We start from the raw sequence: 17014 nt of genomic DNA on the forward strand, positions 1-17014 counted from the left end.
GACATTTCATTTCTCATTTCATTTCTCACTATTCAGTTCAGTAATAAAAATATGTTAAATGGGAGAAGCCAAAGATACCCTTCAAAACAATAGCAACACGTTAATCAACATTATTTGGAAATCATTGTATTATATCAAATGACTCTTTCAAAACTGTTTGTCTGGGAAGAAAATTTCTGCTGGTTTTATCTTTTTCTAAAGATGCTTTTGGAGATCCTTACTGGATTTCCCTAGCTACAATCAGAATGCAATATCTGAGATGTAGAAATAAAAGTATTTCCATATCCATATACTTGAAGCCTAAGGCTGCTATTATTTCTAAGCATAGAGAGTAAACACAGCCTCTCTTTGTTTTACTAATTGCTTTGTTTCCCCAAGCTGCAAGTACAACATCTGCCAGACCAGAATGCACTCCTTCCACACACCACAGAACCACGTCTGGATAAACGACCTACACATCATGGTGTAAGGGCAAGCGCTTTGCAGGCAGCCAGAAGGCAGTTTTCAAGAGGCAAAGACCTCAAGTGGAAATGAAGCTGAATCACCCTCCAAAATCTTTAGAGTGGTTATGGAGTTGTTGATTCTGTAATGATTTCATACTGTCTCCAATTTTATTGATTTTGTTTTTCAATAGAGCTGTTAAAGATTACGATTCTAAGATAAGCAGAATGTGGGCAGATGCTCACATTCTCACACACTGTTCTGCCAAGATATTTTTACATCTTTCTGCACATAAAACAAAATGAAGACATGTGCTATAGATGCATGCTACCAGTAACCCCCCATCCCCAGAAGAAGGGAGTTTACTGTATGTTAATTTCCTGGATGAGGTATTAAATTTTACTTAGAAAAAAAAATTAACAGAACTTCTAAAATAAAAGAGGTTTGCTTCTAAGGCACTTTATAAAATATTCTTAATTACCAAAACCCACTGAAAAGGCAATTTGGGTCATCATATCCAAATGTCATCTCTGCTATTTCCAATTCAATATTAAACTTCATGCCACATCAAAATATAAAACGCTGCAACAGCTTACACACTGTTGATGTTCATTCATCTACTGCACATCAGAAAAGCTCATTGCAAATATGGCATGAAAGAAAGAAAAGTAAGCAAAACACACTCAGAAAAGACTTGAAACAAATTGCCTGAAGGAACACACTCCAGAGAAAACATTGCAAAACCATAGCCTTACCTTGGGAGACTTGGGCAGGTCTACCGTCCTTTCTTCTGCTAAGGTTAGCAGGGTTAACTTTGTTTCCTCTACTGAGGGGTGTTTCGGAGGGCGAGGTGGGGGATGTGAGGCTGAGCTTTCATATCTCCGCATCATGTAATATTGCTCTTCAGTGATCTCTTCTACCAGAGTCCTGACTAGAAATGGTTCTGCATCCCTAGAGAAATTACTAACTAACTGAACAGTCATATTCAAGCGGCCCACAGGAATTTCCCAGCACTCCGTGGGGTTGGCAAAGTCACTTATGAGTAGGTAAGAGTCTGTAATGTCCTCCTCCAACTGCAGTCCTGGTGTGGCAGCCAACACGTCCTCTTCAATGGAAAGATCCCTGACAGACACCTTCACATTGAAGGGCAAACGGAACTGTTTACAGAGCTCAGAAATCGGGTACTGTTTCTTATCATGAATCACCTCTACAAAACCTCCTTCCATGTACAAAGGGAGCAGCGCAGCCTCATAGGACTTTTTGAGGATTTTTTCACAGGCCAGAACATTCACCACTTTTTTTATTCCCTCACAGAGGACTTCAGTCGTCTCTGACTGATGCACCAGAAACTGGTCCCCAACAGATACGGATGACAGCTTGTCATGAGGGGAATGAAACGCTTTGGTGGCCACCACGTGAAGAGGCTCCTTTTCACTCTTAGCGATCTCTAGGTCATAGGCCGTTGGGAACTCCCTCGGTCGCCGCTTGAACTTGCCTTTATAGCTAGTGGGGATCAAGAAGTGTCTTTTAGGAAAATTGCTTCTAATTTCTGAAGCTAAGATTCTTGATGCCTGGTACTTTTTGTGGATCACAATGGTTTTCCCAGGCTGTAAAATGCTTTGGGGCAGGTGGTTTCCTTCAGGTGCTTCTATGACTTCAGTCACTATGGGGAACTCTTTACTAGTCATTTCAAAAAGATCTTCTGTTGATAACAGCTGAAGAAACCAGTTAGCATCGTAAGAATCAGTGATGTCTTTGACTTCGACATCTAGACTGGGGAGGATGCGGATTATATCTTTTCGAACTAAAAAGAAAAAATAAATCACTATGATATTTTTGTACTTCAAAACGTTTGCTGTGAGATACTCTCCTGATGCCATAAATAAATTTCTTTTACAAAATAAAGAACTCAGATGATCATCATATATCATTTCTTATGTGTGATTTTCCTTTTTTCAAATTTTAAGATGAAAGAGATTGAATATAAAACCAACACGCATAAGCCCATACTCAGTTTAAGAAGCGGACATTAGCCAGTACCTTGGAGCTCTAGGGAACCTCCTCAAAATCATATCCTCACTTCTACTGACGTACGATCACTGTCCTGATTCTCATGTTAAATATTCCTGTGCTTATATTTATACTTTTATCATCCATAACATACATGAATATAGATATGTGTGTGAATATGTATGTAAATGTGTTCATAAATTTTATATGAAGGTTTATAAATTATTAGGTCATTTTAAGTCATATTCTTGAGGGCCAGACTTTATATATCAAATTATCATAGAAGACAGTTTTGACCCAAAACAAACCTTTATACCAAATCATATCCTGTGAGTTGAAACAATATTGCAAAATCCTAAGATACAAGCTACTTGAGATTAATATGCGAAAATAAATACCAAGATGCAATATTTTTCCAATGTCAAAGTTCTTTCTTTCTCCACTGGTGTTATATTATACCTGCCTACCAAAGGAGTGGTGCAGAGTGGGTCACAATCAGAGGAGCCATTCAAGAGCCCTAGGTATGCTGGTGAGTACTCACCAATGTATTCATTGCCTCATGCGTCACTGGGGTTAATGGATATCTGTATTTTTTCCAATCATCCACTGTCTCACGAGTCTTCCTTTGAGACTACAGAGATGCTTAAAATATTGTCCTGCATTTATTTACCTGTTCCTCATATACCACCCAACATCTTATCATTATAAATGGTCCTGAATTAATAAACTTATGTATTGGCCAGGCACTGTGTCTTATGCCTGTAATCCCAGCATTTTGGGAGGCTAAGGTGGGAGGACTGCTTCAGCCCAGGAGTTCGAGACTAGCCTGGGCAATATAGTGAGACCTTGTCTCTGTACAAAAATTAGAAAAAATTAGCTGAATCTGGTGGCATGTCCCAGCTACTCAGGAGACTGAGGTGGGAAGATCGCTTGAGCCTGAGAAGCAAATGTTGCAGTGAACCATGATCATACCCACTGCATTTCAGCTTGGGTGACAGAGTGAGACCCTGTCTCAAAACATAAAAATAAAAAAAAATAATAAAGTTATGTGTTAATATTAACAGGGTATTATAATAGTCTATATTTTCTTGATAATTTACTAACATAAATTTTATAGCATTTTCATGATATGGCATTGATTTTCAATATCTCCAGCCACCCTTCCGTCATTTTTTTCTTCCTTCCATGCTTTTGAAAATGAACAATTTGGAATATTTAGAAGACAGAATATCCTCTTATAAAACATTACATATATTACTTTTAATATTATTAACTGTTTATGCAGCATCAAAAAACCTGTGTGATTTATGTATTACTTATATGTCCTGTGTAATTATAGAGTTTCTGAAGATGCAGCAAGGAAAAAGTATTATTTTCTTGTAAAAAAAATAAAAAATCAGTGGTTGCCTATAGGCTAAAGATCTGCAAAATTGTAAAGATTTTTAATTTTTAGAAAAAAAAGGAGGGTTGAAAGAGCACTTCTTACATTAATAAGTTATGTTATAAAGTTTAGCATGCACTAACTTTTAACATTATACCTACTGGCTTCCCTGAACCTCAAGGTAAGTTTAGAAACTAAAATTCTGGTTGTTTGAATCAAAATGAGCTAGGTTTAAGAATTCTAGAGCTAGCTCTAGATAGGCTCATGCTATTCCTCAAGTCTAGGGAAGAGCTAGAGATTAGTAGAATAGATGCCATCAAGGACTTCCTGAGAACTCAGAATTGATCCACCAGAACATCAGTTTCAATACAAGCTAGATCCCAATCTGTCTTTGTACATGGTGGGTGCTGTGGGCTGGGAATAGCTTTAATGCATTGGAGGACTTTATTGCTGCTGGAGAAACCCTACAGGCCATGTTATCCGAACTCTTAAATTTTTTGTATTCAATTACTGACCTATCTTCAATACTTCTGTGCCTAAATCCACTGAAATGATGCTAGCCTATCTTATTTTACTTAAGATCTCAGCAGCATTTGACAAAGTGGATTAGACTCCCTCCTCTTTGATACATTTTTCTCACTTGCTTTCCCCTTATGTCACTTGTGATTCTTCTCAGTTTTGCTGATTTCTTCTCCCTATACACCACCCACCCCTCACACACACCTTTTAGGGTGTCTTGGTTCTCTTTTTCCCTCTATCTACACCCACGCCTACACTGATCTTAAGTGGTCTCATGTCTTTAAATATCATCTTTATGCTGATGACTACCCAAAGTATAGCTCCAGCCAAAACATTTTCCTGAATGCAGTATGTCTACTTCAGATCTCCACTTGGACATCTAATAGATGTCTCAAAATTAACATGCTTAAACTGAAATCTAATCTTCCTCCAAAACCTAAGCTATATGCTGTCTTCCCAGACTCAGCTATTGGAAACTCTTTTCTTTCAGTTCAGTCCATAAATCTCAGAGACATCCTTAGCTTTTCTCTTTTTTAACACCTGAAATATCTTACATCAGGACTATCCTGATCTAAGCTACATTGTCTTTTGCCTGGATTGTTGCAGTGGCTTTCTAACCGGTATCCTTGCAGTCAAGTCTCAATAGGGAAAGCAAATATTATTTTTAGATGCTAAATAATTTATGTCTGTCTTCTGTTTATAAGCCTACAGTGTCAGTCCTTTCACTTAGTATAAAAGCCAAAGTCCTTACCTGGCCCCTGGCACCACCTGGGTCTCATCTGCTACTCCTTTGTCTCACTCTAACTCCCCGCTGTCTCCCGGACCTCCTCATTGTCAGTCAGATCTTTGCACAGCCTGTTTCCTCTGCCTGTTACATACTTCAGCCAGATATGTTCACAGCCAACTCCTCTTCTTCTTCAAGTCTGCTTAAATATCATCTCGGCAGTGAGACCTACTCTAAATGCACTATTTAAAATTGCAATCTTCTCTTCTATTTGCCCTTTTCTATTTCTCTATTTCATGTCACCCTTCACCTTCTATCATTCCATATAACTTGTTAATTTATATTATGAACATTTTCTATTTTTGTTTCCCTAAACTGAAACATATGCCTTCCCAGAGGTGGGAGGCTTTCATTGTTTTCTTCATCAATGTCTAGAATGTCTAGAGTGGCACCTGGCGTATAGTAGATACTCAATAAATGAATTAATGAATAAAAAATAATTGCCAGAACAAAGTCCATGAGTGACCACTAAAGGAAGCAATTCAGTAAATATATTCTATATAAAATTTCACTGGAAAAAAAAGTTTTCTATGTTAAAACTCCTGCTACTATTCATAGCAGCTATTGTATATTTTATTTAAGACACTTCTCTTAAGGTTGCAGTTTCACTTAAACAATGGCCTGTTCAATGCAATAAATACTTGTATTTAATGTCTTCAACATAATAGAGAGATCAAGGTATAAATATATGAGCAAAGTAAAATATTTTCATCCAAGTTTTTTTAATAAAAAAGATTAGGCAAAATCATGATATAGATGCCTAAAGAGAAGATTCAATACAAGGAAATAGCAGATGCAGTGAAAATCAACAACTCTTCTTAGATTCACCAGAGAATTGAGGTCACAGGGCAAACCACCACCCCAAAAACTAGACAGGTAGGCAAATACAAACAGTCATAGCTCACTGGGGGCAAAAACGACTGCTGGAGGCAGCACCTGGAAGAATAGAAGGGTAACTGGGGACTAAAGGTAGAATTGTTTAAGAGATAAAACTCCTAGGGTTGGGGAGTATGTTTAGGAGGGCCTCCCACACTTTTCTGAGTCTTACTTTCAGGGGCCCATCCAGGTTCTCAGGGTGAAGATGAGACAAATTTCCTTGTGCTTCTGGCAGGGTGAGAGAAGAAGCAACTATTCTGAAACATACCCAGAGCATTCTGTTCTCCTTAAAAAATGCCTGTCCTCAAGGAAAACTATTTTAGCACAGCCTAACCAACTTGTGCTTTACCAGAGACTAACTATCATGGGGGAAGGGAATTACCCAACCAAGCCACCTCTAATATTCTATGTGGGGAAAAAGCAATACCCAACTCCAACCTTCTCTGTACTTCTACATAAAGGAAAGGGAACACCCAACTCAAGCCTCCACTAGCCATTCTATCTCTCCCAAAGGGGACAAAAAAGCTGAGAAACACTTGTGAAGGTCACAGCCTAGAGACACAGGCTCACTAATAACTGAAACCTAATCATAAATTATAGAAATCCCCCCTCCATAACATACGACCACATCAACAGTGCTCCTGTATAATAACAGGAAACTACAACTCAAAGAATGGCATTTAAGACCATACCTAAGAAGGAGTCTCTAGAGACTAAAGTCAACAGGGCAGACAAAAGAAAGCACTACATGAAAATGTAGCCTCTGACACCTACCATTATAGTAAACTATAAACACAGCCTAACTTCTAGATAGATAAACGTAATATATCAAGTTAAGACAATTTATCACAGTTTATTTTACCTGAAACATCATGTCTGGCTTTCAAAAAAAAAAAAAAACTACAACATATATTATAAGGCAAAAAAGCACACTCTGAAGAGACAAATCAAGCATCAAAGCCAGATTCAGATATAGCACATATTTGGGAATTACTAGACCAGGAACTTAAAATTTAATAATAATGCTAAGGAGTATAATGGAAAAAGGGGACAACATGTAGGGAAAGATGGGTGATGTAAGCAAAGAGATGGAAACTCTAGGGGAAAACTGAAAGGCAATGATAGAAATTAAAAACACAGGACCAGGTGCGGTGGCTCACGCCTGTAATCCCAGGACTTTGGGAGGCTGAGGCAGGCAGATCACAAGGTCAGGAGATCGAGACCATCCTGGCTAACATGGTGAAACCCCATCTCTAATAAAAATACAAAAATTAGCCAGGCGCATGGTGGCATGCACCCGTAGTCCCAGGTACTATGGAGGCTGAGACAGGAGAATTGCCTGAACCCGGGAGGTGGAGGTTGCAGTGACCCAAGATCATGCCACTGCACTCCAGCCTGGGTGAAAGAGTGAGACTCTGTCTAAAAAAAAAAAAAAAAAAAAAAAAAAAAAAAGAAAGAAATTAAAAACACAGAAACAGAAATAAAGTCTTTGGTGGGTTTCTCATTACACTGGGCACTGCTGAGGAAAGAATCAATGAGCTTGAAGATATGTCAATTAAAAACTTACCAAACCAAAAAAGAAAAAGAAATGAAAAAAATAGAACATAATATAATATCCAAGAAATGTAAGACAACTGCAAAAGATGTAACATGTATGTCCTGGGTATACCAGAAGGAGAATACAGTGGTAAAAGAAACATTTGCATTAACAAGACTGAGAATTTTCCAAAATAAATGCAGCTTCAAAACATTAAGCAGGATAAATACCAAAAAAAATCTATATTGAAGAGTATCATATTCAGGCTTCTTCAAATCAAAGACAAAGCAAAAACTTGAACCAGAGGAGCAAAAACACCTTATCTATAGAGGAAAAACACAACATTTACAGTGGACTTTTCTTTGGAAACCATGCAAGCAAGAAGAGAATGGAGTGACAAATTTAAAGAGTTGGAAAAAACCCACCAACCTAGAATTCTGCATCCAGTGAAATCATCCTTCAAAAGTAAAGGAGAAATAAAGACTTACTTATGTGAGTAACAATTCAGGGAATTTGTCACCAGTTCACCTACCTTGCAAGAAATATTTCTAAAAAAATTCTTCAGAGAAAAGAAAAATGTTAAAGGTAGGAAACTCAGATGTACACACAGAAAGGAAGAGTGCTGGAGAATAAATGAAGGCAGAATAAAACGTTTTATTTTTCGTATTCTTAATTGATCTAACAGAAAACAGTCTGTTAAAACTAATAATTGTAGCAATATTTTGGATGATTATAGCACACAGATAAGTGAAATGAATGACAGTACTGTTTTAAGAGAGAGGAGGGAGGAATGGGGAATATTTTCTTATAAGGTAACTGCAGTACTCATGACGTTATTTGTGCTATTTGAAAGTGACCTATATTAGTTGTAAATATATATTACAAACTCTAGGGTAACAACTAAAAATGTTTTTTACAGTATAATTGATATGCTAAGAGAAAAGAGAAAGTGGAATCACATAAAAGCCTCAATTAAAATTACAGTAGGCAGAAAAAGAAGGGGAAAAATAGCATATTTAATTTGATGATGAGGATAAAGACATTTTATGAAAGGCATGGCCACAACATGAGACTTTAAGAATGAAAAGAAATTACAGGCTAAGATAGAATAGGAGAGGGTATAATCCAGATGGCAAGGACACCGTGATCAATGATAAGAAGGGAAATTGAGAATAGTCAGTAATTAAAAAGAAATCCAGCATCTCAGGATTTTAAATGAGAGCACAGGGACTGGACAGGAGACTCACTGAAAGAAGCACTATGGAAATGAATTGACACTTTGAATGCCAGGCTGAGGAATGTATAACTACTTCAGGAGGAAATCCAAAATATTTCAGATTAAGAAAGACCAAATTACAATTAGGAATTTGGCAGATTATCTGATAACTCAATGGGAGAAGAGATTGAAATCAGGGAGTCTACCTTTCTTTCTATACTAAGTGCCATGAAGCCCATAGACATCCAATTTACTGGCAACCCAATCTGCCTCATTATTTTTGCATGAACTTTGAATTTTTATATTACTCTCTCATGTCTGCTAATACATTAAAATGAAAGCTTTTTTTATACTATTCTGTTGATTTTTTTATATGTTTTAAGTTTTCCACAGTCAAAAGTTAAAATAAAAACTCATTATTTGCTTAAGGTTACCTAGAATTTGGCAATGACATCCTCAAGTTTTTAAACTGAAATAGGTTTCATTAATTTTTATGGCAAATATTATATCTAAGAATCTCTCCTAGAGAAAGATAAAGACACCAACACTTATAGTGTTGTTTTTCTTATAAAACAAAAAGTTGCATGCTTTTATAGAAATATTTTAAAATATAAGAGAGGAAAAACAATTAGAATCTTTTATAGATTTATAAAATTTTAGACAACAACGGCTTATATTGTGGTATATATAGCTCTAATCATGTGTGTGTGTGTCTGTGTGTGTGAGAGAGAGAGAGAGAGAGAGATAAATTTTTTAAACAAGCATTTGTTATTTTACAATTGGGAAAATGGAATTTCCTCCCCCAAAAAAGACCAAAGAGTACAAGCTAAATTAGAAAATGTCATTTTCCAAAAAAGTTCTTTTTGACTCTAAAATGTTAGATAAGAAGGCAACACCTGAGAGCATGAGACTGAGAAACATTCCTGGAGGTTTGTATTACAAGTTTTTCTGTTCCAAACTAAACCAAAGTAAAAACATTATGTACTTATCAAACTTTAGTTTAGACTTCCCAGAATTTCTTTGTGAGTGAATATGAATTATCCTTGCTGGGTATGTTTTCTTGTTATCCAAAGGGAGCTCCTGTGAAAAACAATTTCCATTCCATTTTTTCTGAAAGAGTAACAGGTTACTTCTTTATGTTGCTGAGTTGTTTCACTAAGTTCTTTCAGGGAAAGTCCCTTCACAGGGTGAATGCTAATCATAATGTGGTGCTTTTCTATATTTGCCACTGTAACAACCCTCTTAACTAAGTTTGAATTTAGGGGACACCACTAAAATTGTCTTTAAAGAGAAAATAAAGAGTTACCTTTAAGCTTGGTTGGTGATGGGCAACATATGTTTCCCTGGATATTTAATATTCAATTCTAGAACACTCTTGGTCTCAACTCACTAAGTGAGAACCAATCCTTTGCAATTGGACCTAAATTAGTACAGGGATGGAAATCTGCTGAGACACTCTTATTCAAGACTTGAGGACAAGATGATGGTTTCTACATATTTTTCTCCAAAGAAATTTTATAAATTCTAGTGCTACAATTTCTCCCAACTTCTAGTTCCTCCATTATTATTTAATAATAATAATCTCTATATTTGTTAGACATTTTTACTGTTTAATCTTTGTCATTTACTTTCTAAGACTACAGTTGTTTTTCTCAAAAGTATGAACTTCATCTTCATCTCTCACCCACTCAATGAATTGTTTAGTTACATATTTGCATTGCATTACAATCCTTATTATAGGGCAGTTATTAGATTTACTAAAAATTTCTGAGCTCTGCCTTGTTCCAGACTTTTAAATTAAAATTTGCTTTACAGTTCATTCATTTGATCTCAATTTTCTTTATGGATATTCTGCAAATTATTTTTTTAAATTTATTTAACTTTATTTCAACTTAAGGAAAGCTATACTGTGAATTTCTATTTTCTTACCTGGTTCTCCTCTGGTTCATCTGCTGTCCATATTTCTAAACAAAGAGAGCCTTTTGAACGGCTCTGTAACTCTTAGAAAAAATAATCATAATCCTCACTGAGAAACTGAGAGTTATTTAAAATGAATACACTTGCATTTGATATGAGTTTATTTGTAACACTACTTTGACTTTTACATTTTAATTTAGTCCATAAAATCTAAGAAAAGCAAATAAACACTTTTTTAGACACTTTTAACATGTATCCCATTGATGTTTGTAATGGTTAGTTTTACATATCAACTTGCTTAGGCTATATTACCTAGTTATTTATTCAAACACTAACCTAGGTGATGCTGTGAAGGTATTTTGTTCATGTAGCTGTCATCTACAATCAGTTGACTTTCAGTAAAGGATGTTACCTTCCATGATTTAGGTGGGCCTCATCTAATCAGTTGGTGGTCTTAAGAGCAAAAACTGAGAATTCCCAGAGAAAAGGAAATTCTCCCTCAAAACTGCAGCATTAACTTTTGCCTGAGTTTTGAGCCTGTGCAGCCTGTCCTACAGATTTAGATCTTTTCAACTCCCATACTTGCATGAGCCAATTCCTTAAAATAAACAAATATTTTTATTTACATACAATTTGTTTTATATACAAATAAACACTGTATATATTAATGTATAATTAGGTATATTTAGCACACATAGATATTCTTTTTCTCTGGAAAATCCTAACAAGGCATTAATAGTTGGTAATGTAAAAATAAATATATACATAATACAAAATAGGTACCTTCCTCTGCTAGCTGCATGATATTTCTATTAGCAATAAGACTGCAGCCTAAAGGAACAAAATGAAATGGGAGCTGACTAGAGTATCTACTGGTTCTAAATGTCATGTTGTCGTAGTATTTTCATGGACACATTGCGAAAAGCATCACTAACAAAAATTGAACCTGTTATATGAATATAAATGATATAAACTTTGGTACCATGAAGTTCATATTTTCCTTAGCTATTGAACTCATAAATATGTCATCATAATAAGTCAAATCTGGATATAGTGAGTGAGAAAACCCCCTTGTTACCTAAAGAGGAGCTTTGTACTGTGAAACATAAATATACACGCATAAACAATGTGTTACTTGCTTTATTCATTCTTTCATGTACTTGATTTATTGAATGCTTATGGAACATTTACTCTATCTCAAGCACTGAGAAGATACAAATACATACATAAGAAATTAATGTGATATTTTTATAAACTAATGAAAATTGTGTTTTACTAAATATATTAAATTTATAAATTATACTTATTATCATTTAGCAGGAGTAGCAACCAGTCCTTTGAGAGATTATAATAGATCCAGGCAAAACTCTGGGCTAGAACTAATTTAATTAGGTAGTGAGGTTTAGGGCTAAAATTATACCTTTTCAATCCTTTCTCCCATCAAATTTACCACAGGGGTAAGAAGTCAAAAAAGAAAGTTTTTTAAAAAAGGTTCAATGAATCTAAAAGATATCTGCAATCCTTAATCTAAATGAAGACAGAAATCAGAGGGAAGAATGATAAATTACTTGACAGAATAGAAAAAGGAGTGCCTATGTGCCTGAGGAGGCAAAATCCAAAGAAAAATGAACTGTTGTTGTCCCATAAGACCTCCAAAGATAGAATTTGGAGACATAAGACCCCTGGAAAGCAAGGTGAAGCCAGGAGGCTAAAAACACAGGGATTATTCAAATGTCTGAAGAATGGTTAAACCCAGGTCTCCACTCTAATCTAGGGGAGATAGGTGACCACTTCTTCCACCTCTCCCTCTGCAGGAAACAGTATATACAGGATCTCAGAACCTCCGAAACCAGACATAGGTGAGCAGGAGGGAAGCGTGGAACTGAAAGTGAAGGAGTTAATTATAAATCTGTAAGTGGGAGTGGTGAGATCTTTAGCTCTGTCCCCACGTAGCTCCAATAGTTTCATAATCCCCAGAAGATACCACAAAGATTCTTCTTAGGTGAAACTGAACTCAAAAAGGAAAGACTCACAAAACCTAAATTTGAGGAATGCTGCAGTGAAAAAGTTGGCAGGATAATATCTAAAATTCATAAACACAGAGCTTATATAGAAACAGTGCCTTACTTGTACATTTTTGTTTCAACTGACCCCTGTAAATATGAACATATTACAAGTAATCACAAAGCATTTGATAAAAACATTTAATAAGAAATGATACACCAAAACTTAAAAAAAAAAGAACCCCAAAAGAGGAAGATATTTTGCAGTGAACGCTTGAAAACTTAAAAAAACTATCTAAAATATTTTTGAGAGAGACGGGGTTTCACCGTGTTAGTCAGGATGGTCTCGATCTCCTGACCTCGTGATCCGCCCGCCTCGGCCCCCCAAAGTGCTGGGATTGCAGGCGTGAGCCACCGGGTGGCAGGCGCCTGTAGTCCCAGCTACTTGACAGGCTGAGGCAGGAGAATGGCGTGAACCCAGGAGGCGGAGCTTGCAGTGAGCGGAGATTGCGCCACTGCACTCCAGCCTGGGCGACAGAGGGAGACTCCGTCTCAAAACAAACAAACAAACAAACAAACAAACAAAACTAACTGAAATATTCTCAGAGAAATAAGATGTATTTTAAAAACAAGAACAGTGTAAAATATGTAAAATGATGTAAGAAATAACTCTTGGAAATTAAAAATATGATAACGAAAATTAAAAATTCATTAAAACAGTTGGAAATGTAGTTATGAAAATTTTCCCTGGAGGTAAACAAAAGACAAAAAGATATAAAATAGAAAAGAAAAAAGGCCCTAGAAGATCAGTATGGGAATTTCAGTATGAGATTTGAAATTAAAGACAGAGAGAAGAGAAAATATAATTGAGTGGACATTATCAGAGAAATTGTTCCAAATATGAAGCACCTAAATATTCAGATTGAAAACTGTCATCACTAAGAAAGAACAGACCCACCCCAAGTCACATTACTGTGAAACTTCAGAATACCACGTATAATCTCTCCAAGACGATACAGGATGGTGGAAGATAAGGGAGTAAAGTTTTCAAAATTCTGAGGGGAATTTATTCTCAACCTGGAATTCTGTAAGTAGCCAAACTATCAATCTTATATGTGTATAGAATATTTTTCAAACATTCATGCACCGTTCTCAGGAAGCAAGGGAAGGTTGGCCTGCATAAAAATTGGAAGAAAGTCAAGATAGAGGGAGTTATTTGATTTCAGAAATAGCTAGTCAACACAGACACAAGTCAACAGGGAATCACCAGGATTATTTTAAATGGAATTCCCAGGGCAGCACCTATGCAGTTGGTCTCAAAAATAAGCAATTCCAATTGGAACATGAGAACGAAGAGTTACAAAGGAATACATTCAGGAAAATAAATTAATAGAAAAGGTAGCCTTCCTGATAGTTTGGGTTCTTTGAAAAATTACACTGAGTGGCCTTTTTTTATAGAGTTGAAGAATGCTCTAAGACTTAGGATAAAATTGAAGAAAATCAAGCAAAGAAAACGATAAGGTCGTCATCGCAGAAAAACAGTTATGGAGAAATGGAATTATACTCGTTATACACCACTTGGTTGAGCAGTGAATTGTCACAATAATGAAAATATTAATGCTTAGCCATAACTTATAATATACTGAGAATATAGGGAAGGGGAAGTAGGAATATAAGAGAATTAAGTCTTCATTGTCATATGTGAAAGTCAATAGTTACTATCTTAAAGTTGATGACTTGAAAAAGAGCAATATTCCTTTATTATTTAGATATGTGCCAGAAAGTAGGGGAAAAATATTTAAAGGCATTACCTCAGAAGAGCAGAATATGAGGAAAATTTGGCCCTCGTGTCAAGGGCATAAAGGTTTGCTGATAACATTGTTATAATTCTTTTCACTATTTGACTTTTTGGACTTTGATAAACATTAAAATTATTTTTAAAAATTAAATGAGAGAAAGAGGAAGTCTCAGTATTCTAAAGACCAAAGTGTTATTTTTCTGCTATTCATGTATCACTGATTATACAATATGCAGATACAACTGTTCTGATACTACTTTTCACTTGTGTGATTTCAGCCCTTTGCTTATAAAATGAATTAATTTTTTACATATCTGGGCTAAAACCATACCTCCCAAATTTGAGAGGCATTGAGATTTTTTCAAAAAAGAAAGAGAGTTATACAACTCTGAAATTTTCACTCAGGGAAGAAATAATTATCAATCTATATGTCAAAACATGACACTATTTTAAAAGTTTTAATGGTCAAGACCTCTCTCTTTCAGAGGCAAATATAAATAGCTCACTCAATTTTTTCATTTGCAAATATTATGTATTCCATTTACTATGCTAATATGAATTTTGTCTTCCTGAGAAAGGCACAATACACATCATGATGTGACTTACATAAGACTAGTAGTTTGAAGTTTGCACTGTTATGTGTATCTATTTTCCAAAGAGGGATAATTTTTTCTAAATCATTAAATGTGTGATGAGGGTTGGGGGGTTCAGACCTATGACAGAGATTTTGGCCAAGTTTCCAGAAACAAATACTTCATTTAAACATTTTTATTTTTTTTTTGAAGCCCAAATATTCACATTAATAATTAAAAACTAGTAATAGGAGTAGAATATCTTATATTCTCTCTTATCTCTATTTATTTGTTATGTTCTCTTTTCAGCAAACATGGCTCCCTGTAGTTCTCAGTATTTTTCATCTTGCTCTTTCCCCTAAGGTTTCTAGAAAACTTCCAATTCCCTGCTCAGACCTACTCTTTTTCTTGACGTCAAGGCAATTTTGAATCTTCAATTTAAGAAAGAATCATGTAAAACAACCACAATGGATTCAAAACATGGTCTACATTTTATATGCAGGGCAAAAATGCCTACAACAATACAAATACTTTAAATTAGGTATTTGTGATAAGACACCCCTCCTCTATTTCCAAGGAATATTCTGCAGTCAATACACATGCAATCCAGTCTCAGGCAGTATCTGTCCTGAAATTGCTATACAATAAGAACTATGTTTAAAATAATCCCTATGAAATTAACGATCCAGTATAATTAAAATGGGAATTTAATTTAAATAGCATTAAAGAATGGGAATTAGACTAAAACATTTTGTAAACGGTATTATTTCAACCAAGGGCTTTCTTCTCGGTCTTGGTTAACATAAATTCACAGTTAAGTCCTACCTAAACAAATATGTTAATATCCCCTGATCTGATGATGATTACATTCAATAGACTGCACTTCCATCCAGTAGATCAAGCCAGGAGGCTGGGAACAAGTTTGGCTTTTTTCCCCTTCCAATAGATCTTCACATTTTGCTCTCTGTACTTCTTAAATACCCATCAAGCCCAACTATGATTCTCTGTCTTTCCCATTGATGTCTCTACTGTATAAATTTCCTGTACCCTGGCACTCAGCTGGCCTCACTACTCTCCTCTGTTCTTCTCTCCCTGCTTAAAGCACTTTACTGATTTGCCCTTATGACACATTTTAGCCTCTTAGTATATACTTCAAGACCCTCCATGATTGATTCCACTCCCCATTGCATGTGTTCATATTTGTTTCAACCTGCCCTCTCCGTTTTTTTCTCACACCAACTACACTAGAGCTCCCATCCCTTCCTCACCTGCTTCCCCAATACCACTCCTGCCTTCTCCAACCTTGTTCCTTTCTTCTTTGCCTGATTACCTCCTATGCATCCTTTGAGCCTTCCATTTAAATGCCATTTCCTCGGAGTAGTTTTTCTTGCTTCCTAATTTATTAAATGTTGTAACCACTTTATCCATGTGCTTAGGTTCTGGGTTTACCCTCATTTGTAACTATGCGATAGGCAGGAGATGCCAATAGTTGTAGAAAATAACAAATTTTAAAATGAGAAAATACTATCTATTATTTATAAAAATCAAAGAAATCTCAATTACTCATCTCAACTGCACATTTGGGGATCGCTAACAGACATTAATGTGGGGTCTACAATTTGCCATTGCCTCAATTTTTTGTAATACTAAAAACTCAAAACTACTTGAAAAGGTAGGCAAAAGAGTATCATCATTTTCTTTGCATAAACAGGGAGTTTAAATGGTGCACTGAAAACCAACACCTATTAAGTTATTGACCCAGAGTTAGAATCTAGGACTCCAAGTTCAGAACTCTTTACTATCCATCCTACTCACGTGTCATAATCCTGAAAATTCAAGGTATTAACACCTTTGAAGTAACAATGCTCTCTCCAGATATTCGTATTTCAAAATGCAAATAATTCTATGAAGATTGCATATTAAAACACGCCGGGCCGGGCGCGATGGCTCACACCTGTAA

The 17014-nt window shown here is 35.7% G+C and overlaps 1 protein-coding gene across 12 annotated transcripts in view; it reads right to left on the reverse strand.

Moving 5' to 3' along the window:
* Nucleotides 1-17014, reverse strand: part of THEMIS (thymocyte selection associated) — a 221968-nt gene that overhangs the window by 115059 nt on the left and 89895 nt on the right. For all 12 annotated transcript variants that reach the window (XM_047418766.1, XM_047418764.1, NM_001318531.1 and 9 more), the window contains one exon: nt 1197-2245. In XM_047418766.1, coding sequence (XP_047274722.1) covers nt 1197-2245 — 1049 coding nt within the window. The remainder of the gene's footprint in view (nt 1-1196; nt 2246-17014) is intronic.

Source organism: Homo sapiens, chromosome 6 (assembly GCF_000001405.40).
Source record: "Homo sapiens chromosome 6, GRCh38.p14 Primary Assembly".
Taxonomy (NCBI): domain Eukaryota; kingdom Metazoa; phylum Chordata; class Mammalia; order Primates; family Hominidae; genus Homo; species Homo sapiens.